At 44.0% G+C, this 26318-nt stretch overlaps 1 protein-coding gene across 60 annotated transcripts in view; it reads left to right on the top strand.

Moving 5' to 3' along the window:
* CSGALNACT1 (chondroitin sulfate N-acetylgalactosaminyltransferase 1) overlaps positions 1-26318 on the top strand; it is a 353748-nt gene that overhangs the window by 227456 nt on the left and 99974 nt on the right. For 57 of the 60 annotated variants that reach the window (NR_148898.2, NR_148900.2, NR_148899.2 and 54 more), the window contains one exon: positions 24323-25252. Coding sequence is in view for 52 of the 60 variants with exons in the window: in NM_001354476.2 (NP_001341405.1) it covers positions 24619-25252 (634 nt within the window). In the remaining 8 variants the exon portion in view is untranslated. Of the gene's footprint in view, positions 1-15253; positions 15508-23916; positions 24159-24322; positions 25253-25418; positions 25498-26318 lie in introns of those variants that run through there. The other 3 variants (NR_148897.2, XM_017013625.2, XM_006716364.4) reach the window with 3 other exon arrangements.

Below are 26318 nucleotides of genomic sequence, written 5' to 3'. Positions count from 1 at the left end.
AAAATCTGTTACTCATCTATGTTAATGAAGCAAAGAGTTATAGATATTATAAAATTATATATACACTTACATATATACACATACACACTCATGTACAGTCAGTACTTGTGTGCGTGTGTGTGTGTGTGTGTGTGTGTGTGTATGTGTACACATTCATGGATATTGAATGGATTCAACCAACCATGGATTGAATTTTTTTTGTTTTGTTTTGTTTTGTTTTGTTTTGTTTTTTCAGCCAGAGTCTCGCTCTGTTGCCCAGGCTGGAGTGCAGTGGCGTGATCTTGGCTCACTGCAACCTCTGCCTCCTGGGTTCATGCAATTTTCATGCCTCAGCCCCCGAGTAGCTGGGATTACAGGCACGCACCACTATGCCTGGCTAATTATTTTGTATTTTTAGTAGAGACAGAGTTTCATCATGTTGACCAGGCTGGACTCCAACTCCTGAGCTCAGGCAAGAGCTCACCTCAGCCTTCCTAAGTGCTAGGATTACAGGCGTGAGCCACTGTGTTGGGCTGAGACTATTTTAAAAAATAAAATATGAGAAATAATTGTAAAAATTATACAAATAATAGTACAATAGCTATTTACATAGCATCACATTGTGTTAGGTTATTATAAATAATGTAGAGATGATTTAAAGTATACAGGAGGATGTGCTTAGGTTATACACAAGTACTGCACCATTTTGCATAAGGGAGCTGTGCATACATGGATTTTAGTATCCATGGAGGAGTCCTGGAATCTGTCCCTCATGGATACCAAGCGACAACTCTGTGTGTGTGGGTGTATGTGTGTGTGTATTTGAAGTTTTAATGAATAGACACATTTTCCCTTACCACTTTTTCATTCACTGCTATTTTGATATTGATACGTATTTGATAACTATTCCTGATATTTATTAGTAATGGGGAAAGGGTTGCAGTAATGATGAATGAAATGTTATTAAGAGCCCAAACGTCAAAGTCAAGTGAAACAGGAGATAAGAGCTTCTTCTTGATTTAGCTCCTACTTGTTTGCCACCAGCCTTGAGTAGGATTCCAGGAGCCAGGAGGAAGAGCTGATGCCCAGTAGTGGTCAAGGCCCACAGGTCTGGTCAGTTGCACAAATGCCCTGGTCTTCTCCCTGATACACACCCTTCCAACTACTGCTCACTCACTCTCACTCTTCTGCTATGCAGTTAAACTTCTGGAAAAATTTCTGCATATTCATTGTCTCCATTTCCTTCCCACTCTGTCTTTAATTCACTCTTCTTTCGCACTCAACAACTCACCAAAAAAGCTTTTAAGTTACCGTTGACCCCCACGTTGCTCAACTCACCGAGCTTTGTTGCAGTTCTCAGCTTACTTGATTTCTCGGCAGCATCTGACGTTGCTGTCCACTGAATCCTTCTTTTTAAAGGTATATTCAAATTTTGAGACTTCAAAATTTTGTGAATGACAGCCCCATCTACTCGCCATTTGGTTTAATAAATAAAATCTTAACATTAACAACCATTACTCATAGACCTTCTGAAGGCTGTGTGCCCTTCCCCAGTCACATCCCACTTCTTCCATCTCAAGAGAGAACTACCATCCTAGCCTTAGCGTTTGGGGTATCTAGGGGTTTGATATCTTTATTTTCTACATCTGAGTTCTGTCAGTTCCCTCCAGCCAAAGACTGTTAGGCACACTCTGTAGTTGGACACGCTGGGTTTATTATTTGTTGCTGCAAAGGAGAATGCATACCATGGGAAGTCGTGAGGTATCCTAGTAAGAGGGTGTTGAGGGAGAACCCATCATACAGATTTGGGTCTTGGTTGGATGATTTGGGGGTGGGTTTAAGGAAGGAGAGATTTGCTCTAGATTGGATCTCCTCAGAAAGAGTAATTCTCACATAAGGTATCTCAGTAAATCTTACTATGGGGGTCTAGAATGAGGATAAAGTTGTAATTAGTAAAGAGGCAGTCACTTTGGCCAAGAAAAGGGGGTGTTTGGTATTTTGCGGGTGACATGTTGACCTTGTTTTTGTCTGTGTTTAGACAAAATTATGGAGTGGCCTTGTTTTGTCTCTCTTTATCACTTGTGTGAGGCTGGTTTTCTTTGAGATGGTTTATGTCTAATAGCGGAATAACATGACCTTGCCGTGACTGTCAGGCAAGCTTCTGAATATCAAGGGCTGCTTGCTTTTTTTTTTTCTTTTTCTTTCTCAGTCCTGAACGAGTCGGAAAATGGTGTTCGGGCAGATGGAGACACAAATATTGGCTAATTTGGAGAACATGACCGGGATACGTGGCAAAAATGGGCTACAGAATTAGCCAGGCTACCTCAGTCAGTTCTGGATAGCCCTGTGTCAAACCTACTCAGGCAGAGCCTCAGCCCCCAAGTTCATAACAATGTGGGTCATCTCCAGAAGTTCCTTCTCCAGCTGCTTTGCAGGCTTATTTCCTCTTCCTGGCTGTTTGATGTTGGAGTTCCTATAGACTCAGCACCACCTTTTCTTCCCACTCGATTTTCTCCCTGAGTTTATCTCCTTCAGTCTTACGGTTTGATTCCTATCAATATGCCAGTGGCCCTGAATCTACCTCTCTGGCGTACAGCTCTTCTTTTCTCTGACTTGCTTAGTCACCATCTCCGCCTGGATGCTTCAGAGGCACTTGAGCTTAACTTGTCTAAGCCCACACTCATAATCTCCTCCCCAAATTTGATATTTTTGGTTTTCTACAGCCTGACCCTGCTACTTCAGCTCAGCACCCCACACTCCAGCTATGCTGACCTGCCTGCGTGGTTCTCATGCGTAATGTCGCTTCCAAGCCTATGCCACTCAGTTACTTCTACCAGAAAGCCTCTTTTATCCTTTATTTTTTTGACATGGAGTCTCACTTTGTCACCCAGGCTAGAGTGCAGTGGCACGATCTCAGCTCACTTTAACCTCTGCCTCGCAGGTTCAAGCGATTTTCCGTCCTCAGCCTCTGGAGTAGCTGGGACTGTAGCCACCCACCACCATGCCTGGCTAATTTTTCTATTTTTAGGAGTTGGAGGGGCGGGGTTGGTTCACCATATTGGCCTGGCTGGTCTTGAACTCCTGGGCTCAAGTGATCCACCCTCCTCAGCCTCCCAAAGTGCTGAGATTACAGGTGTGAGCCACTGTTCCTGGCCCTCTTTTATCCTCTCTTCCTGGCTAACCTTCTCCTCCAAGACCTAGCTGAGGTGTCATCTCCTGCAGAAAGCTGTTTCTGAATGCGTGAGGTTAGGTTGAATATTCCTCATCTATGTCCCCTTTGTTCCTTTTGTTCCTCTGTCCTAGCAGTTAGTTGATTGATTTATCCTTTCATGGATCTGTTACTGCCAGTGTACTTCAAACTCCTTAAGGTCAAGAATGCTGTCTTACTTATCTTGATATCGTGAGCTTTACCTGTCTTTAGCTACATAGTATATAGGTATAGATAGATATAGATAGGTGGGTAGATATGTAGTGAGTCATATAGATACGGATATCTAAGATCCTGAATGAGACTTTAACATAGCATTTAACGTAGGTACTGAGTAAATGTTTGTTAAACCGAAGGTTGTCTAAAGATTTTGTTAGCATTTTTTGTACTCCTGGAATGGCCAGAGCTTTGATAATTTTAGTTGCAAAAAAGTGAGCCAAGTACTTTTTCTGTTGTATTTTGCTATACTCATGAAATACCTGTTGGAGAAGTAGTCGTTTGTTTGAAGTTTGGTAAAGGATGGAGCTTTTTCTATTAAATTACGTGATGTTTTTAGAAATGGTTTATTTTTGTTTCTGATTGATCGCCATTGGATTGTGGCTCCTTTAAGTAATATCTTTATCAGTCAAATAAGCATTTCTCTTTTACCTACAATTTTTATATATAAATTATTATTATTATTTTGAAACAGAGTCTCGCTCTGTCACCAAGCTGGAGTGCAGTGGCACAATCTTGGCTCACTGCAACCTCCGCCTCCCAGGTTCAAGTGATTATCCTGCCTCGGTCTCCCGAGTAGCTGGCACTACAGGCGCGTACCACCATGCCCAGCTAATTTTTGTATTTTTAGTAGTGATGAAGTTTCACCATGTTGGCTAGGATGGTCTCATTCTCTTCACCTTGTGATCTGCCTGCCTCAGCTTCCCAAAGTGCTGGGATTATAGGCGTAAGCCACTGTGCCTGGCCTTTATCTATAAATCTTAAAAGTTAAGGGCCCTTGAGTAATAGCTGTTCTGCCCCTCTAGTTAAGGAAATGCAAGCCCCTGAATGGAAACCAGGGCTCCTGCCTCCCAATCCCATGTCCCTTTCCCTAGACTCAGTTGGATTTCATGAGAGAGGTGGGTTTGAACAAAGCGTAGCGGGAGGTAGGATATGACAGCATTGGGCCTTGTGGAGCTGGGCAGCCTTTTCCTTTTTTAACTTTTTATTTGAAAATAATTACGGATTTATAGGAAGTTGTAAAGGTCTGAAGTATTCCTCAGCTAGTTTCCCCATTCTTGCACATATGATAAAATGGAATGGTAAATGCGCACTAGACCTAGTTTCTGGTTTGGATATTGCACTACGGTTATATAGGACAGAGCAGTGGAGCAGCACTGACGCTGGCAGTAATCCCTCAGGGAGCAGCAAAATAGAGCCACCCCTGGCCTCACGTAGCTGGCACTGCCAAGGTGCTGGTTCTAGGGCCTCAGTTCAGAGGTTGTGCCTCTGTAGACTAGGACATTCATGTACCTCAAATGTGCTCCGAGGGCAGGCTGCTTTCTCTCTGTTGTCACTTGGCAACTTTTCTCTAGGTCATTTATTCCAGCTTTGTGCACAAGGCTTATGGTGGGCTCTACTTTTTTTTTTTTTTTTTTTTTTTTTTTTTTTTTTGGGACAAGTTTCCCTCTGTCAGCCAGACTGGCATGCAGTGGCATGATCTCAGCTCACTGCAGCCTCTGCCTGCTGGGTTCAAGCGATTCTCCTACCTCAGCCTCCTGAGTAGCAGGGACTATAGACATGCACCACCAGGCCCAGCTAATTTTTTTTTTCTTTTTTGTATTTTTTAGTAGAGGTGGGGCTTCACCATGTTAGCCAGGCTGGTCTTGAACTCCTGATCTCAAATGATCCGCCGGCCTCAGCCTCCCAAAGTGCTGAGATTACAGGAATGGGCCACCATGCCCAGCCATTCTGCAGGTTTTTAGTGCCAGTAGAAACAAAAATAAAGGCAGTAATGATGCCTCCCACAATGAGTGTTTTAGTTTTAACTCTGCAAGCCATTTTCACGTTTGTTTAAAGAAAATTGACATTAGTTTTTCATCAATTTGGCAACAGGGATTGCCCTGGAAGGAGAGCCAGGCCTGGCAGATATATATTGGACAAAGAACACAAAGTTTCCATACTGAAGGGGCATGCTTGCTTTTCTGAATTGCTGGAAATAAAGATGTAACAGAGTAGTAAATCATAAGCAATGCTGTGGTCAGTTTGTGCTAGGCACTATTTCTCAATTTCCTTGGCTGGTCCTCAGAGATACTGTTCTGGTTTACAAGTGTCTGTAGTGGGGATGGTCTCTGTCTCTCTCTCTCTGTGTCTCTCTTTCTCTCTTTATTTCCAGCATCTTTTGCCTGATTCTTAGGCTGAGGCTGTGGGATGTTCCATAAAGGTACACCTTGTTTTGTTATGTTCTTGTTTATGTCTGTTCTGTCATTGAGCGGGGAAGCTGGAAATAAACATCTTGGGGGCTTAGGCAATCAATGGTCCCAGTCCTCTGTAGCTAAGGGCTTACAAACCTTATCACATTAGAGGCTTTTAATAGGGATAAGCAATGTTTATTAAAAGCTGAAGCCTCCTTAGACTCACCACTCCACAGGATAATTGCATTTATATCAATCTTGAGACTCATTAACTTAGAGTCAAGAAAAAAAAATCCCAACTCTTCCTACTATATGGAAGGAACTAATATTAAAAAAATTAGGACTATGACAAGGCTCATTGTATTTTCACCTTGCCCTGGGAAATATGTAAAGGGTTTGAAAGCTAAAAGAAACAGACTAGAAAAACAAAATCTAGAAAAAAAAATTAGGCATGGTTGATTAAATGGTGAGTTTTGAGTTCTCTATTTTTTCGTCTTTTTATTAAAATAACATGCATCGTTAATAGCGGAATTGGAGTGGGGATGGTGGGAATGGAAAATCTTAATTAGATCTGTGGCAGTGTTTTTTCAGAGACAGGATCTCACTCTGTTGCCCAGGCTGGGGTGAGATGGTGTGATCCTTGCTGTAGCATTGAACTCCTGGGCTCAAGCGATCCTCCTGCCTCATCCTTCCAAGGAGCTAGGACTACAGGAATGTACCACAATGCCCAGCTAATTTTTATGTTTTAGAGATGGGGTCTTGCTGTGTTGCCCAGGCTTGTCTCAAACTCCTGGCCTTAAGTGATCCCCCCACCTCAGCTTCCCACAGCACTGGGATTACAGGTGTGAGCTACTGTGCCTGGCCCTGCTGCATATTTTATATCCATGATGATTTGGGTATTCTCCCAAGTTTTTCCATCTCTACCTAACAAATAATACTCAACTTGAAAGGCTCTGCAGAAGCTTCTGTGATTCTTCCAAACAGATGATCTTTCTCTCCTCTGAACTACGGCATTGTTTTGTTTATATCGCGAATGACTGATCACATTCCCTTGACATAAACATTGTTTTTAGAACTGTCCTTGCCACTCCCCATTACCCTGGTGAGGACAGGGATCTCAGCTGACCCTTCGGTTTGTCTCCTGTGATAATTGGTATGGTCCCTTCCATGCAGTAAGCATTTAATAGATATTTGATGATTACGTGAATACAATTCACATTGTTTATAACATTATTTACTGAATGCTAGAAAAGTTGTTTTCTGTTTTAATAGTACAATGTAGCCTGGGTGTGAATAGTACCATGTAGCCTGGGCGTGGTGGCTCCTGCCTGTAATCTCACCACTTTGGGAGGCCAAGGTGGGTGGATCGCTGGAGCCCAGGAGTCCAAGACCAACCTGGACAACATTGCAAGACTACGTCTCCACAAAAAGTAAAAAAAAAAAATTAGCTGGGCATCATGTCATGCATCTGTAGTCCCTGCTCCTCCAGAGGCCGAGGTGGGAGGATGGCTTGAGTCCTGGAGTTCAAGACTGCAGTGACCCATGATCGCGCCCTTGCACTTCAGCCTAGGTGACAGAGTGAGAACCTGTCTCCAAATAAGTAAGTAAAAATAGTACTGTGTGATAATGCTGTTGAGGAACATCTTACATGCCACCTTTCCTATAGAGCGAGGTGGGTGTGGCATGAGAAGGTGGTGCCCCGCCCCTCTTTCACAGGTGCTTGCTTCAGTGTAGGTCACTGTTACGTGAGATGGAACTCTGATGGTCTTGTTCCTTGTAGATTTTTGCAATGCAGTGGTGGTAATGTCCGCAATTGTTGCAGCTTCACACGAGTGTATTCAAAAGGATCATATTCCAACTTATCTTTCACATGGAGGCATTTTATGCCTCTCCTAGGCAGCCTTGAACTGAGCCTTGTTATATGTCAGGATAGTAGCATGCAGTTTGAAGAGGGAATCAGGAAACTCCGCTCACCACAGACATCTTGCAGCCTTACTTTGGGAAGAATCTTTTATTGTTTAAATTTTTTTTTGAGCCTTGGGAATGTGTCTAGTACCAGTAGCTGAAATTAGAACGTTAGTGTATTGAATCATATTTTGAGCTACTGGAAAATTGCAATTTAAAAATAACTTAGGAGGTTTTGAGATTTCTCCCAAATGTGCTTGCTGCCACTTGAAGAGTGACTTTGCAGGTCAGAACTTCACCAAGGTGTACCCAGAGTCCTTCTGGTAAGTTGCTGGTGCAGAAAAATGCTTCTGCTGCTTGCAGCCCCATGTGTACAACTATGGAATCTATTGTCCCCAGACCTAATGTCCTCCTCCACTGTGCCAGGACACTGGGCTAAGCATTTTACATACATCGCCTTTTAAAATCTCCCAGGATCCCTAATGGAATCTGTACCACTTAGTTTAAATGGCATTTTAGAGAGAGTTTTTCAAATTTACTATGGTTTTCTTTTCTTAAAATAAATGGATCTGGAGAGGTAAGAACGTGAGTTATTTTGATTTAAAATTTGGAAAGTGCAAATTTAGAGGCAAGAGATGAAGAGTCTCGAGTTCTGAGTTCTGGTTCTTACTGTGCTTTCTACCAGCTCTGTACCTGTGTATACACACCAACCATTTATTTCTTGGTGGTAGTTTTCTCATCAGCAAAGTGATGTCCATGCCACATTTCTCTCACTAATACGGTTTTGACCTTAATTTAGCTCACACTGATTTCATATTAACTCTGTTACAGGCACTATGCTGAGTACGTCATGAGGACTCTATAAGACAAGCCTTTCTGTGCTCCTCAGGTCTGGGAGACAAAGGCTTCAAGAAACCAAACAACTGCAGGGCTCAAATGGTCTCAACCTCAGAGCCTGTAATGTCAACCACTGCATTGACTGCTAGGAGAAAGGGAAATACAAGATGTGGAAGCAACTTACAACGTCAGAACAAATGGACACATGAAGTCTTACCACGACGCAGGGATTGGTAGAGCAGATGCTTGCCTGTGCAGTAATTTGAAGAATGCCAGCAGAGCTCTGTTTTCAAAGTCCCCCTCTCTTATCTTCCATTCCTGCAGGCAGAGCAAAGTTTGCAGGTCCATGAAACCAAACTTGTCTTTCTCCTAGAACTTCTCTTGTGTGTGTTATTTTTCAGTGGCAGCTCCATCCTCAGAAATGTACATGTTAAACCCTGGCGCTATTCTTCTTCTTCTTGTTTTTATTTTTTTTGGAGACGGAGTCTAGTAGTGTGATCTCGGCTCACTGCAGCCTCCGCCTCCCATGTACAAGCAATTCTCCTGCCTCAGCCTCCTGAATAGCTGGGATTACAAGCGCACACCACCAAGCTTGGATAATTTTTGTGTTTTTAGTAGAGATGGGTTTCTACCATGTTGGCCAGGCTGTTCTCAAACTCCTGACCTCAAGTGATGTACCCACTTCAGCCTCCCAGAGTGCTAGGATTACAGACGTAAGTCACCGTGCCGGCCCCCTGGGCCCTACTCTTGATGGATAGCTTTTTTTTCTCCTCATGTAATTGGTGTACTTCCTCTGTCTTTAGTGCTGTAGCCTGGGTTTAAGTCTTCCCTGGCCTTTATTTAGAACATTGTAATAGCCTCATATCTAGTGTCCCCAGTGCCAGTCTTTCCTCTCCAGTTCATGTCAACACTGCTTATTTGCTAAAATTCAATTCTGATCGTGTGAGTCTGTTGTTTAAAATCTTAGACAGCTGGCTAGCCGTTACCTATAGGATGAAATTTCATCCTATCAGTTTCAATTTTCTGCCTTGAAATGAGGGGCCCTTTGCTATGATGTCTCCCCGCACACCTCCCTTTTGCCCTTACGCTCCAGGACGGTGTGTTGAAAGGGCATTCTGCATTTCCAGATTAACCTATCAGTGCTTTTCCTCATGGTGAACACACATCTGCGAAAGCACCTCTGTAGATTGTAGAGAAGCCATGTGGCATGGTGCTTAAGAGCACAGACAACACCGGACTAGAGACCCCGATTTGCTGTGGCATTTGGACATGTTAATAACCTCTGTCTCAACGTCCTTGTCTGTCTGCAAAATGGTTATAATATTAACAGAACCTACCTCATAGGAGGTATCAGAAAGTTAAAAGGAAGATGGAGATAGCATGGGGTTATAATTATGAGAGGAAAGTCTACTGAAAGAGAATGGAAAGTTTTAAGACTGATGCAGAGGGAACATATTAGTGGAATGTTCAACAGTGTTAAACTGTAAAACTTGGATTAAATAATTGTCATGTGGCATCTATCTGTGCATAGAAACAGGACAATTTCTACTGTGCGTACATTTCTTTACAGGCATGAAATCTTGAAATGTTTTTTAGCTAATGCCATAATAATCAGTTAACTCCCTAGTAGAGATTGCTGACTACAAGATAGGATTGGCGGCAGGCGCCAGGAGTGAGGGACTCCAGGAGAGGGACTCATAGGCCTGGGGAGGCTGGAGCCACAGCCTTAAAAATATTGTCTGCAATATTATCTGTAGGTCTTACTTTTACCAAAAATAACAATGCAGCTTGCATTTATGTGTTATTGGGCTTCCTCTTGTTATTTTTCCCTACATTTTTTATTCCATTTTTCTGTTCAGTTAGATGGCACAAAGAGAGAAGCCTTGGTTGATGTAGCTTCATGGAGTTTCTAAAATAATTCTGCACAATACGTGCATTCTGTAGTCCCGTTCTATAATAACCACTTTCTAAAAGAAAGCCCCTCATTTGTGTGCTCATATCTTTTTGTAGGTGGGGAAGGAAGAGGAGAGCTGAGAGGAGTTAGGCTGTTTATTTTGTCTTAACTAAAAGTAACAGTTTCATTCTTAACCCCTCTCACCTAGAACACGCCAGCAAAACACCTCCATGAACTCATCAGAGTGGGTGCCGGCATTGCCACAGTGGGTGCTGGCACCTTTCAGTGTAGGAATGTTCCCAGATATCCTTCCTTGGGGACTGTGCTGGTGGGGAATGAGGAGGCCACTGTGCAGATCCATTCTTCCATAATGCCTGTGGCAGACCAGGCTTCTCCATCATGCTGGCTGGTGCCAAGGATTGTGGGTGGAGAGACCAGAATGCCACCCCTGGGAGAAGGGAGCATACAGCAGCCATTAGGTGACTGCAAGTGCCCAAGAAGACAAGCTTTAATTACTAGTTTGTCACTTTTGGCACCAAAGCAGAGTGTCTCACCCAGGGGAGCCTGAGATGGAGAGGAGGGAGAGTGTCACATGTATCCTCCAACTCTCGCCTTCGGATCAAAGCATGATTTGGCACTTCACGAGACAGCTATCGGCACCAGTGATTCTGTTTAGAGGTGATGTTTTGTCCTATTTCCAGGGTTCTCTGCTGCGTGTTTTCTTAACTTGGCTGCTCTTTCTCTTTTGCCCTGCTGTGGACATCGCCTTCCCCTGTGCTGGTGTTGTTTAATTCTCTGTATATTGAAAAGCTCTGTCTACTTTTTGCAACGTAAGGCTGATTGAAGCAGATCATTGTGATGGTGCTTCAGGATATGGGGGCCTACTAGCTGTGTGGGCAAGTCACCCAGTCCTGCTGAATCCTGGTTTCCTAATCTAGGAGAATGGGGATCAACAACTTGTAACTAAAGTTATTATGAGGTTTAAGTGAGACAACAGGTGATGGAGAAGGTCCAAGGATTCTCCAGCAGTACTTGGTAGACCCCCACCCCCAGGGCTGCCCGAGAGGACTAGGTCACTACCTTAGACTCAAAGTGAACACTTTTACCTGTATCTTTTAATGAATTGGGCTTTCCATAATGTTTGTTCTTGGAGAGCTGTGTCTAAAGAATGTTTTAAAACCATCAGCTGGTACCTGGTCAAGGCATTGGGTAAATATTGTTTCTCATCGTCAGTTCCCCCCTTCTACCTGCTCATAATGTACAAGGATCATTTTATCAGGAAGGAGAGAGCTTCGTTTTTCTTCTTTCTGTGCTTCTTTTCACTGTAAATAAATAAAGTTGAGCCTGTTTCGCTAATGGAGCCACCTTAGCCTTCCCAACACAGAGTGTGGTGATTCACACCTCTGATCGTGCCTTGTGGCTGATGTCTACACTCAGCATCTCTGCCTGCAATCTGCTTAGGGCCTGTGCTGACGGCCTAGCTGGAAGTGAAGCAGCTACATTGTCTGGGGTATATACCCTGGGGTTCCTCGTGGTGTACCAGGAAAACTGAGGACACGGACACACATGAGGAGTTTAGGAGCAGAGGTTTAATAGGCAGAAGAGGAAAAGAGAAACTGCTCTCTCTACAGAGAAAGGAGTCTCAGAGCAGAAAAAGGACTGAGTGGCAGAGACTGCACAGGATTTTATAGTCTGGTTTGAGGAGGCAGTCTCTGATTTACATAGGGCTCACAGATTGGTTTGATCAGGTATGATGTTTACATAGTGTGTGGGGAAGGTTGGTCACCCCACCCTAATATTATTATGCAAATAGCTTTCCAGTTGATTGGTGCCATTTTGTCTGGTCCTTACAGTACAGGTTGCTGATAAAGAGAAGGGAAGATGGAGCTGCCATCTTGAATACTTCTAGTCCTTAGTTCCTGCTGTTAATCATCCATGCAAACTCCCAGCTTGCTTATGTATGTCTGGGGCTCCACTTTTCAGGCTGCTCTTAGTTAGAAAATGATTTGGGGCTGCTTTTCATTTAAAAGAAAGCCTTACTGAGGACTCCCATACCCTTACTATTTGCCTAAGTGATTGCTTCTTAACTCCTGTATCAGAAAGTACTTGGCTGGGGAGTGTTGCTCATTTTTAAATTAGTCCCCTCTTTGTTAATTAACAGCATGCATTTCTCTAGAAGCTGTGTGATGCTACCTCAGACCCTGATCTCTCCAGGTGCTTACTTTCCTGAGTCTTGGAGTCTCCCCAGTGCCAGGGCTGGTTTCTGCCTGCACAGAAGAATGTTAGTTTGACACATGGCCATTACATGGGCATCTACTTTTGCAGTGCTCTAGAGGAAAGAAGAGAGAACTGAGTGTGATATGGTTTGGCTGTGTCTCCACCCAAATCTCATCTTGAATTGTAGCTCCTATAATTCCCACATGTTGTGGGAGGGACCTGGTGGGAGATAATTGAATCATGGGTGTGGTTTCCCCTATAATGTTCTCCTGATAGTGAATAAGTCTCAGGAGATCTGATGTTTTTGTCAGGGGAAACCCCTTTGGCTTGGCTCTCATTCTCTCTTGAGTGCTGCCTTGTAAGACGAACTGTTCCCCTTCTGCCATGATTGTGAGGCCTCCCCAGCCATGTGGAACTGTGAGTCCATTAAGCCTCTTTTTCTTTATAAATGACCCACTCTCGGGCACGTCTTTATCAGCAGTATGAAAACAGACTAATACACAGTGTTTTGCAGGAGAGCCTTCCACAGTGATCACTTTAACCCTTCTAGAGATATTCTCTTTTTCTTCTTTTCTTTTTTTTGAGATGGAGTTTCACTCTTGTTGACTATGCTGGAGTACAGTGGTGCAATCTCGGCTCACGGCAACCTCTGCCTCCCAGATTCAAGCGATTCTCCTGCCTCAGCCTCCCGAGCAACTGGGATTACAGGCATGTGCCACCACACCCAGCTAATTTTGTATTTTTAGTAGAGATGGTTTTTCTCCATGTTGGTCAGGCTGCTGATCTCGAACTCCCAAACTCAGGTGATCTTCCCACCTCGGCCTCCCAAAGTGCTGGGATTACAGATGTGAGTCACCATGCCTGGCCCTCTTTTTCTTCTTTCAAAGAACATTTCTTAGTTGCTTAAAAATTCTACTTGCCGTGATGCTTTTTAGTTGAGATGCTTCGAACTTGATATGTGAGTATAAACTCCTGGCGTCTTACACCCACATATCAGGTTTGAGGCATCTCAACTAAAAACCAACCACCTCTCCAGGTGGGCAGTGGGTCATGGCCAAAGTAGGGAATGGAGAACAGGAAATAAATGTGGCTGCAGATTCCAGCTGGAAATGGAAACTCCAGGAGCAAAGGCAGCACTTGAACCACTGAGACTGCCGTGGCCGCTGTGTTCACCTCGATCCCCAGAAAGCAGCCACTTCCAGCATCTCACCCCCTCCTGGGGGCTCCCATCATGGAAGCCTAAGGGCCAGGCCCAAGGAGTAATGGGTGACATTCCCCCAGCCCACCCAGAGCCTGGTCTGTGGAGGCCACACGGCTGGAGGGTCTGGTGGAATCACTTAGAAACACTTGAATGTTGCGAAGATATTCTGCCTGGCCCTAGTTGCAGGGACAGAGCAAGGCTCACACCGGGATGGGGATTATTTGTCAGGATAGTGTGAGTTTGCCTAGCTGTTGAGAGATGTGTAAATGCAGATCACGGCTACATGGGGGTACAAAACATTTTAACTAGAGAAGCAGTGATTCATGCCACGTTTGAGGGGCCAGGCAAGCTCATAAATAATATTTATGAGTTCAGAAACAAGAAAAATTGGACACGCTGGGTGTAGAATGAGGAGCAGGTCTCAGCAAGCAGTTTGAGATTATGAAGCGGGTTGAACAGTATAGCGTAGTGGGTAAGAATCAGACGGAGCTGGGTTTGAAGCTGGGCTCTGCTACTTGCCAGCTGAACATCTGGGTCAAGTTACTTCATTGCTTTAAGCTTCAGTTTCTGTTTCTTTAATGGGGTTAATAAGATGTAGCTCATAGGATCGTTTTGAGGATTAAATGAGATAATATTTGTGAAGTGCTTTGTATGATGTCTGGCCCCAACGTAAATGCTCACTAAGTGCTTGTAATTATGAACGAGGGGAGGGTGTTGGAAGGCTGGTTTCATGCGGTTCTCAGTTTGGGGTGAGAACCGGCACCAAGAGCCCCAAAAGACTCCGGGAGTCAGGTCTCCTTGCGGGGTTTGGCAGCTGACTCAGCCCCACATGTGTGCTTGAGATGTCTTACAGCTGGAAGAAGCGTCTTTATTCTGTACACCTGGCTTGAGTAGCATCTTCTTATGCCAGTGTCCTGCCCTCATTGCACCTTCTGGGGTCCATGACCACCACCCATGCCAACTACCTGCCTTAGGTCTTCCTGAAGCAAGGGTGGCAGTTGTAAGGAATGGGACTAGACGGTCTGGCATAGACAGGAAGCCCCTCTCCATCAAGCCTCCTCTCTAAAAGTTTGCCAGCAAATTAAAAATCAAAATAAAAAAAAAATAGGACTTGAGTCTGTTTCTTGACCTTTTGGTGCTTGTGGTTGTGATCAGTGTGCTTTCATTTTCTGATTAGCAGGTGCCAGCTTCTTTTTGCCACATTTCCCTTTTTCTGCTTCAAGGCAGGGAAATTGAATCAGAATTCTTTTACTTAGTTATTTATTTTTTTGATTTACACTTATGTGTTTATTCTCAGTTGCTTTTCTATTGAGAATTCTTTTAAAAGACCAACGAGGAGTTGAGGGGATGGAGGATCCCTCCCAACTAGGGAATTCCTGACTGTGAAGTCATTTGCAAGCCCATTCCCCTGGGCTGGGTCAGTGCTGGTCCCTGGAGAACACGCCCTCTGAGTCTGCAGATAGGGGGACCTCACAGGGAAGACTCAAGGAGCATCTTGAAGGCTGAGCCTAAGTCTTTTGGGTGAGGAAGGAAGGGAAGTGGGTTGTGGGTGGAGTCCCGGCAGTTTGGTCACATGGCCTGACAGCAGGTGCTGAGGACCTGAGATAGAGATAGTGGGGTCCAGAGGCAGGAAAGGACATGGCCTGACAGCAGGTGCTAGGGACCTGAGATAGAGACAGTGGGGTCCAGAGGCAGGAAAGGCACTCTGAGGCTGGGTTCCCGAAGGAATGGGGGATCAAGGCATGATCCTGGCACTGGGGACCTGGAATCAGTTGTGGCAAGAGCCCTGCCCCAAGGACACTTGTAATGCAGTCAGAAGATCAACTACTGGAAACCTGGAGCTAGGTATCTGTGGGCTCCAGGATGGTCCATCAGGGTGAGACAATATTATTTAAAAATATTTTACGCTTTATTATTTTAGATATATTGTAAATACATAATACTACATTATAAAGCTTGTATTTAATATTTTATTTTTATTTTCTTTTGGAGACGGAGTTTCACTCTGTCCCCCAGGCTGGAGTACAGTGGAGTGATCTCAGCTCACTGCAACCTCCACCTCCCAGGTTCAAGTGATTTTCCTTCCTCAGCCTCCCAAGCAGCTGGGACTACAGGCATGAGCCACCATGCCAGGCTAATTCTCTTCTGTATTTTTTTTTTTTTGGTAGAGACGGGGTTTCACCATGTTGGCCAGTCTGGTCTCAAACTCCTAACCTCAAGGGATCTGCCCACCTCAGCCTCCCTAAGCACTAGGATTACAGGCGAGAGCCACTGTGCCTGGCCTGTATATAATTTTTAAATAGATACATGTATATATATATATATATATATATATATATATATATAGTCTCTGTTCAAAAGTCATATGATGCCTGAAATGTGCTATTTTTGTTTAATTAATGTTTGGAGACAGCTGGTCTTGAGTATTGAGGAAAGAGGAGGAAAAGCAGCAAAACTGCTAGGGCCACCAAGGCAGCTGTCCACACAGATTGCTGTCTGTGTGAAACCCGAGCCAGTACCTGTGCTAAGTAGCTCGGTGTCAGGGCTGGAGGGGGTCAGGGAAGAAGGCTTCAGATCCTTCCACAGCCAACTCCAAACTCTTGGCATTTAATTGTTGACTCCCCAGTGGGACCCCTGTCCTCTCGCTGGGATTTGGCTCAAGCACCTCTTAGTGCATACACAGTAATACTGATCTGCTTTAGTTGCTGTCAGGAACGTAGCAGAAGATAAAGCACTTGGCCCATAGATAGATGCTAATGAAAGTCTCAATGGAAAAAAGAAACCTGCATTCCAGAAAGATCTCTGACACCTGAAAACCCTGCTCTGAAACTTCTGGGTGGATGTGGTTTGGGGAGATGATGAGCTATTATGCTCATTTTCAGGTCATTTTGGCTTCTTTGAAAGTATAGTTATGTGATGTGTAACATTTTGTCAGTGGACCGAATACATGTGGGTGGTTCTATAATTATAATACTATATTTTTACTGTACCCTTTCTTTGTCTAGATGTGTTTAGATACACAAATACCATAGTGTTACAGTTGACTGCAGTATTTATTATAGCCACATGTGGTACAGGTTTGTTAGCCTAGAAGCAATAGGCTATACCATATGGCCCAGGTGTGCGGTAGGTCTACCATCTAGCTTTGTGAAAATACACTCCATGATCTTCACACAACAACAAAATTGCCTGATGATGCATCTCTCAGAACATTTTTCTTTCATTAAGCAATGGCATAACTGTGCCTCAGCCCTAAACTAATTAAGTGTGTATAAGAGATAGATTATTGTGGATTCTAGCAGTTGTAGGTGTTGGTTGTATATACTCATTTTCTTTAACAGCAGGCAGATGGCACAAAATATATATATATATATATATATATATAGAGAGAGAGAGAGAGAGAGAGTGAGAGAGAGAAAATTCTATGAACAGAATGTACTGGGTGTAGGAATTGGGAGCGTTAGGGTCTTTCAATCATTATAGTGGCTTTCGTGTGTCTTCCGTTACATTTTGCGGTATTTTCCTTTGATCTTAAGACCTTTGCTGTCCTCTTTTCTCCCACATTGTCGCTATCCTCCTATGTCCTGGGTGCTACCACCCACCTCTAATATTCAGTGTCTAGTGCATGGTCTTGGTAGGAGATGATGGAGCCTTGAGTAGGGTGGTGGTGGAGGTAGAGATGCAAGAACTGATTTGAGATACTTTTGGAACAGGAAGCATGTTGACATGGTGATGAGTCAATGGCAGAAGATGATGGAGAAGGAAGGGCTAGGGATGGTTTTCCTGCCTCTGGCTTAAGCAGCTTGGTGGGTTGTGCTGCCGTTGGCTGCAAAGACAATGACTGGAAGGGAAGCAGAGCTGCTGTGCTTCATCACTTCTCAGTTAACTTGGCCCGTGTGCTGTAATAGTCAGCTACTTCTACACAACACACCATTGTTGACTCTGGTTTCTGGAAACAGTGTTCCTCTGTTTTAACTTTACAGATTTCCTAAAGTCCCTGACACTTAAAGAAAACATTTTTGGATTAATGACCATTGTTCAAGAATAAAATCTCGGAGGGCTTTGGTAGAAAGCATATTGGGCTTCAAGTCAAAGATGGGTTTGAGTCCGATTTCTATATCTTGCAGGTTGTGTGGTTTTAGACAAGTCGCATAACTTCTCTGAGCCTTATTTTCTCAAACGGAGAACTGATTATAGTAATGTATTTCTGATGGCACAAGATTATTGCATCATAGGAGGTAAGACATATTAAAACATTTTATAAAATGAAAAATAGTGTATGGTTGAGAGATAGCATTTTTATGTAAATCTGAAGTCTGTGACCCTGTGAATTAGTTATCTATCTGTTGGAATGTAATAAATTATTCCAAAACTTTAGCTTAAAGTAACAAACATTTATTATCTCACAAGGTCTTAGGGTCAGGAGTCTGGGAGCAGCTTAGCTGGATAGTTTTCGTTCAGGGTTGCAATCAAGCTCTCTGGTTGCAGTCATCTCAGGCCTTACCTGTAGCTGCAGAACGCATTTTCAAGCTCTTTCAGGGGGTTGCCGGCAGGCCTGCCTCTGTTCCTTGCTAGCTGTCGGTCAGCTGGAGGCTTCAGTTCCTCATCCATGGGCCCCTCCACAAGGCTGCTCACAACACAGCAGCTTGCTTGGGAGAGAGGGCACCCAAGACAGAAGCTGCCCCCTTTTACAACTTAATCTCACAAATGCCATACCACTTCTTCTGCCATATTGGTTGGTCACTGATAGGGTTTGGTTCTGTGTCCCCACCCAAATCTCATTTTGAATTGTAATCCCCAGTATTGAGGGAGGGACCTGGTGGGAGATGATTGGATCATGGAGGGCAGATTTCCCACTTGCTGTTCTCATCATAGTGAGTGAGTTTTCGCAAGATCTGGTTGTTTAAAAAGTGTGTAACACTTCCCCCTTCTGTCTCTTCTGCTGCCATGTGAAGATATGCTTGGTTTCCCTTCCACCATGATTGTAAGTTTCCTGAGGCCTCCCCAGCCATGCCTCCTGTACAGCTGTGGAACTGTGAGTCAATTAAACCTCTTTTCTTTATAAATTACCCAGTCTCAGGTAGTTCTTCATAGCAGTGTGAGAACAGACTAATACAGTCACTCACATCAAGACCCCAGTACAGTGTGGGAGCAGACACACAGTGGTATGAATACCAGGAGGCAGGGACCATTGAGGGCCATCTTGGAACCTGGCTATCACACCCTGCCTACAGGAATTCAACTGGGGTAGAGGGAATTCTAAATGAAGCCATATGTTCAAATAAAGTTTACAGTGCTGACTTTATATCCATTTTTGAGAGCATTTGAAAACTCTGAATAAGAATCCTTTCCACACACCTCCAGGATGGTATGTTTATCCGAGAGATATGACTTGAGTTTATGTTCTGTTGGTACAGCTAATCCTTTGATTGAAGGTTAGTTTGTGCCCTTGCTGTCAAAGAGCTGATTGTATGTGCCCAAGTGGAATAGACTCGCACTGCGGCATTAGGGCTTTGGTCTACCACTTCCTGACCCCATAGACACTGCTTGTTTTTTTCTCCATCAAGCCTTTTGGCTGTGTCTGCACACGGGGTGGAGATGTCTTGCAGAATTTATTGCCACTCCTTGAATAGTTGCCTTTATCACTTACAAGGCCTGTCATTGTAGCATGTAGTGCTGCCTGCCCTGGCCTTGCCATGAAGCCACTGTCCTTTCTGCCTGCTGCTGACCCTGACAGCGTGTCATCAGCAGGGCTTGTCCTTGAGTCTTTCTTGATTTATGAGCTTCTTGTGGACATTAGTAGGCATATCTTGGCAGAGTACACAGCTCTCGTGACCAAAACGTTCACTGAAATCTGCAGAGTGAAATGCTTACACTCAAACTGAGAGCAACTTCTGTCCTAGTCATAGAAATCCCGGTATGCACTGGCCACATTTCGTTTAAGTCTTAGGCTGTGAAACAAACCTGACCTGCCTTTGTTTTACCTTCTGAGATGAAATGGTAAACAGTATCTGTAACTACTTGGATATCTTATCTTGACAAATATTGATGACACATAACATTTATCTTAAACTTCTGTCGTTTTAAAATGTATTATATTTGTACTTTTCAGATCCTCCCATCTCCCACTCCTCACCCATACGTTTGGTCGGTGGGAACATGACATTAACACTTTATATCTATTTTAATGGTATTTGTCTGTTTGGGGCTCAGATTATAGTTATTTGAAAGGACGTTAGTTCCTCTACAAGCTAGTAAATTTGTTGAGGCTGGGATTTGTTCTTGGTTCACCTTTTCATCTCCTGGAACTTTTTATACAGTGCATTGAACATACTAAGTGCTTAGTGCCTATTTGTTGTATGGATGAATAAAGACAGAATCCTAGATAGAGTGGACTGAGACTGTCGTCTATTGTTTATTCATTGCTGTGTTATTTGGAGGTTGTTTCTGGGTCTCAGATCGGAGTGAGTCCTACAAGCATTGCTCTGCAGGAGTGTTTTGCTTTCACAGAAGACCATGAAGAAGCCTTCTCCCATTGTTTTGTTGCCCAGAGATTGTAAGAATGGCAGGAAAGGCATTGCGCTTGGATATCTCCTTCATTCTAATCAAGAAATCCACAGTTTCAGATGTGATGCATCACAGTTCCATCCCTGGGGATTTGGCCAGGGATAGGAAAGTATTAGGCAAAACAATTAGTAAGGATGAACATTTAAAAATGGCAGTGTCAAGAAACCTGATGAGCATAAGGATTTTCTACAATTAAAAAAACAAAAAACGGGAATTATGTATCTCCCTTCTTCCAGGGGTCCTAAAATTTGTTGTTGACAGGGACTCCTTGCTCCCTACTCTCTCTGTCCCACAGCCACCCCCAAGAGATTGACCTGGTCTAAAAATGTGGGTGCCTTTCTAAGTTCTTAAAATAGTAGCTCAATGCTGCTGTGATCACATAAAGCTGTATTTTCACTGTCATCTCTAACTTCTAGTAGTGCTTGGTAATTACACGTTGCTTTCCATCTGCAAGTCTGTGAACATATAAATTTTAACTCTTTAATTCTCCCACTGTTGCTCAGAGAAGGAGATTGCACAGAGATTTTGTGGCTTAGGTATGTATTGGTCCAGTTATGTCTCATCAAGGTGTTTTTTTCCTGAAGGTGGCAGAGGTGGTGACACCCATTTTTTTTTTTTTTTTTTTTTTTTTTTGAGACAGAGTCTTGCACTGTTGCCCAGGCTGGAGTGCAGTGGTGCAATCTCAGCTCATTGCAACCTCTGCCTCCCGGGTTCAAGCGATTCTCGTGCCTCAGCCTCCACATTAGCTAGGATTACAGGCTGCACGCACCACGATACCTGACTAATTTTTGTATTTTTAGTAGAGGCGGGGTTTTACCATGTTGGCCGGCTGGTCTTGAACTCCTGACCTTAAATGATCTGCCAGTCTTGGCCTCCCAAAGTGCTGGGATTACAGGTGTGAGCCACCGTGCCCGGCCAACACCCACTTTTAAGAATGATGTTTTGTGCTACCGAAGGAAAAACATGAAGTCTTCACAGAAGCAAGAATCCGAAGGGTAAAAGCCTCTTCTGACTTCAGGAAGCAGATACTCCCAGCCTCTTCAGTATAACCAGTTTTTAAGCGTTTGATTACAGATGAGATTGCTGGAACGGTTCAGAGATATTTTGTCTGTTAAAGAATGGAATTTTGTTTCCGACACACGTTATCTGCTTCTGACGTTTCAAAGGAAAAATTCATTGCTGCCTCCTTGGCAGCAGTTCTTATGACTTTTTGTTATTTCTATTAAAAATGCCCATCCTTCCTAAAAATCTGTCTTTTCCACTTTTTCTTCTTTTCTCCAAAGAGTGGAATACCAAATAACTTTGAAATTTATACTAGTGAATTTCAAAAGCCAAACTAGATCTTGAAGAAAATTATAGAACAGAACAAAAAGATATTCCAGTTTTAAATTTTCAAATCACCGATTTAGTTTTTAAATAGTGTTCAGTTAGCCAACATGCTTTTCATCTTTTATGCAAATACAACCATTTTATTAGAAAACCCTGAGAGAAAAACAGCATAATTTAAGTTTCCACAACACAACAAAATGTGTTGACTACTCCATTTTTGTTTCTTGATTTGCTTGTTTTGTCTTTAACGACAATCTTTTTAAAGTAGGAGTGTTGAAAGTGGCAGAATAGCACGATAACATGTCTTCACTGGTAATTTAATTCTTGGATATAATGAGTTTATCTAAGAGACTTCATTAGAAACAGCAAGGTGCCTGAACACCAAAGCTGAGCTGTTTTCAATCACAGAATTACAGTAATTATATAAATCCCAAGATTTTCATCAGATGGAAAAGGCTTCCAGGGCTAAACATGCACTTTAAACTTAGCACTAATAACTGTGTGTTGTTCTAAATTACAGTAGAGAGAATCCTTGGGCTGAAGGAAATATTAGAATGTTAAGTGTTGAATTTCTCAGAAAAGTTGAGAAATAAACTATTTTGATGGCATAGTGATATCACTAAAAGGCACATCTCCTGGGTAATAGAAGAGGAACTGTTGTGTAGACATAGTGCATAGCAAGTGAATATTCAAGTAAAGGAGGTTGTTAACATTCTGTCTTTGAGAGGAACATCTCTCTCTTTTCTCCCAAGGGTCCTGAACGTGTGAATTGACTGGGCTGAGCTCTTCTTCTCATCGGTAAATAGGATAGACTACCAGTAAATGAGATGATTATTGGCCCAGAATCTGGCTTTCTGAGTCGGGTGAAGACTATATAAAGAATAATTTAGTTATCATGAGGATCACTTAAAATGACAAGTTTTTATAAAATGGCAAAGGCATGATACCCTCAGGGATCTTGTTTGTGAGTGAAGTGATATAGAAAGATGCATCTAGGAGGGCCGGGCACGGCGGCTCACGCCTGTAATCCCAGCACTTTGGGAGGCCGAGGCGGGCGGATCACAAGGTCAGGAGATAGAGACCATCCTGGCCAACATGGTGAAACCCCGTCTCTACTAAAATACAAAAACATTAGCCAGGGGTGGTGATGCGTGCCTGTAGTCCCAGCTACTCAGGAGGCTGAGGCAGGGGAATCGCTTGAACCCAGGAGGCAGAGATGGCAGTGAGCAGAGATCGCGCCACTGCATTCCAGCCTGGCGATGAGCGAGACTCTGTCTCGACAAAGAGAAAAAAAGAAAGATGCATTTAGGAAGGTTTCATTAAAATGTCCCTAGACAAGAAATTCTATTTGGTCTATTTTCCATTAATCATTCTTTTTTTTTTTTTTTTTTTTTTTTCTGGCTAAGATGGGTAGGGGAAGACAAGGAAAAGGGATTAAGGAAGGAGAACATCTGAAGAGGAGTGTGCTGTGGAAATGTCCATGATGAGTGGAGGAACAGGAAGGGTGACCCCAGGGGGAAATGGAGAAGGCAGGCAGACTGGCTTCTCATTTGTTGAGATTGAGAGTTGAGGTGCAGAGCATGTGAAAAGTCCTGGGACCCGTCTGAGTATTTCTTATGAACTATCAGGACACAGAATTCCTCATAGACACTGGAGCAGAGATATAACTGGGATTTGGGTCCCAACAGGACAGTATTTCTGAATCTGATCTCTCTTCTTCTCCCATCCTCATCCCTTCTATGATAAATTCATCTCCTGTCTGTAAGCAGCATCAAAGAGTTAGCTGGAACCATTGTCCCCTGATCCCTTCTGGATGTGTTACCATCCACATTTATTATTTGTATATTTGAACCTCTGGGTGCTTCCCCAGTTCCTGATCAGAAAGCTCAGAACCATGTCGATCCTCTTTCAGGCCTGCTCTAAGTGAGTGCACACAGGTGAACACATGTGGGCTCACCTGGCTGCATCCACGCCTGCTGGCAGGCTTAGTTCATTCTTGCTGCTCTAAAGGAATACCTGAAGCTGCGTAACTTAAAAAGAAAAGAGGTTTATCTGGCTCACAGTTCTGCAGGCTGTACAGGAAGCATGGCACCAGCATCTGCTTCTGATGAAAGCCTCAGGCTGCTTCCACTCATGGTGGAAGGTGACGGTCAGCAGGCATTATATGGTGGGAGCAGGAGGGAGTGGGGATAGAGAGAGACAAAGAGCCAGGCTCTTTTCAACAAGGAGTTCTCATGGGAGCTAAGAGTGCCAACTCACTCCAGCAAGAATGGCACTAAGCTATGCCTGAGGGATCCACTCCCATGATCTAAACACTTCCCACCAGGCCCCACCTCCCAACACTGGGGATCATATTTCAGCATAAGACTTGGAGGGGACAAACAAACACAGCACAGTCTCCGGCCAAGTAGTCCGCTGCCAGCAACTCCAGTGTCATTAACATTTTTGCTTTTCTCCCTTTAACCATCAGGACTTGCGCCACTATGCAGAAATTACCAGATACAGAAAAATAGAAGTAGAAAGATGACTCTTAATCTTTCCATCTGGAGAGAATTATTGTTCAGATTTTGCCATTTTCCTTCCAATCTTTTTTCTCTGTCCTTTGTTGCTTATTTGCGTTACACTGCAGATGTGCGTTTGTGTTCTGATTTATACACATTTAACAATATTTAATCATCTATCATAGGCATTTGCCATAACTCTCACAGGAGATCTATTGGATATTGATTGCCGTAGGGAACATGAGGGAGTCGTTGTCTTGATTAAGTGTTGATGTCATTTGTGTTTCTTCCCAGGTCCCCTCTTGCTGTTGGCTGCACATCAGGAAGGCTGTGATGGGAATGAAGGTGAAAACTTGGAGATTTCACTTCAGTCATTGCTTCTGCCTGCAAGATCATCCTTTAAAAGTAGAGAAGCTGCTCTGTGTGGTGGTTAACTCCAAGAGGCAGAACTCGTTCTAGAAGGAAATGGATGCAAGCAGCTCCGGGGGCCCCAAACGCATGCTTCCTGTGGTCTAGCCCAGGGAAGCCCTTCCGTGGGGGCCCCGGCTTTGAGGGATGCCACCGGTTCTGGACGCATGGCTGATTCCTGAATGATGATGGTTCGCCGGGGGCTGCTTGCGTGGATTTCCCGGGTGGTGGTTTTGCTGGTGCTCCTCTGCTGTGCTATCTCTGTCCTGTACATGTTGGCCTGCACCCCAAAAGGTGACGAGGAGCAGCTGGCACTGCCCAGGGCCAACAGCCCCACGGGGAAGGAGGGGTACCAGGCCGTCCTTCAGGAGTGGGAGGAGCAGCACCGCAACTACGTGAGCAGCCTGAAGCGGCAGATCGCACAGCTCAAGGAGGAGCTGCAGGAGAGGAGTGAGCAGCTCAGGAATGGGCAGTACCAAGCCAGCGATGCTGCTGGCCTGGGTCTGGACAGGAGCCCCCCAGAGAAAACCCAGGCCGACCTCCTGGCCTTCCTGCACTCGCAGGTGGACAAGGCAGAGGTGAATGCTGGCGTCAAGCTGGCCACAGAGTATGCAGCAGTGCCTTTCGATAGCTTTACTCTACAGAAGGTGTACCAGCTGGAGACTGGCCTTACCCGCCACCCCGAGGAGAAGCCTGTGAGGAAGGACAAGCGGGATGAGTTGGTGGAAGCCATTGAATCAGCCTTGGAGACCCTGAACAGTCCTGCAGAGAACAGCCCCAATCACCGTCCTTACACGGCCTCTGATTTCATAGAAGGTTAGCATTTTGTGAATTGGGGGGAAAGGAGAAGAAAAGGAATTGGGGGTTCCTGGCACCCAGGCAGGTTCCAGCTCCAGGAGGCTGGCAGCTGGCTCTGGGATGGCTGGCGGAAAGTTTTATGTGTGTGACACCAAAAGGTACGGCATGGCTTTTTATTTTTCAGAAACATCTGTTTCCACTTACTTTCTCATGGAAACCACGGTCATTGAGTGGACAGTTTCATTGTTCCTTGGCAGAAGAAGGTAGAACTTCTTCCTTTCATTTTAAAAATAGATAAACATAAAACTTTGAAACCCAAATAAAATATGACAGGGCACTTCTAGTAACTGAGCTTGGTTAGCAAGCTCATGAACAGAATAATAACACGCACATATTATTGCACTTACATGTGCCAGCCACACTTATTCTTTTCCCATGAAATGACCCCATTAGGGAATGAGGAAATGGAGGTGTAATTTAATTAATTAAATAGCTAAAGTTGCTCAGCTAACAAGTGACAGAACCAGGATTTGAACCCTGGAAGTCTTAACTCCAGAGTCCATGTCCTTAACCTCTACATTATATCATACAGATTGTCAGAGCACATGGAAACTAGTGAGATGACGGCTCATCTTTTTTTTCACGGGCGTAGGACAGCCTAGTATTAATTTGTGTTTGTGTCTAATTTTAGAAGACAGCAGCCTTGTCCAGTTTCTTGGAAGTTAATGTCTTTTTAACTTATCTATTGTTACTGGTTCAAAAATCAACTAATAATTTGGGAAAAGAAGTACCTTCAAGGACATCTAGTTCTTTCCCCATTTCTGAAAAGAATATAATTCATCTGGCCGGGTGCAGTGGCTCGCGCCTGTAATCCCAGCACTTTGGGAGGCCCAGGCAGGCGGATCATGAGGTCGGGAGATCGAGACCATCCTGGCTAACACGGTGAAACCCCATCTCTACTAAAAATACAAAAAATTAGCCGGGCCTGGTGGCGGGCGCCTGTAGACCCAGCTACTTGGGAGGCTGAGGCAGGAGAATGGCGTGAACCCAGGAGGCAGAGCTTGCAGTGAGCCGAGATCACACC

Source organism: Homo sapiens, chromosome 8 (genome assembly GCF_000001405.40).
Source record: "Homo sapiens chromosome 8, GRCh38.p14 Primary Assembly".
Lineage (NCBI taxonomy): Eukaryota > Metazoa > Chordata > Mammalia > Primates > Hominidae > Homo > Homo sapiens.
Note: the sequence above shows the minus strand (reverse complement) of the source record. Positions and strands in the feature narration are given on the sequence as shown.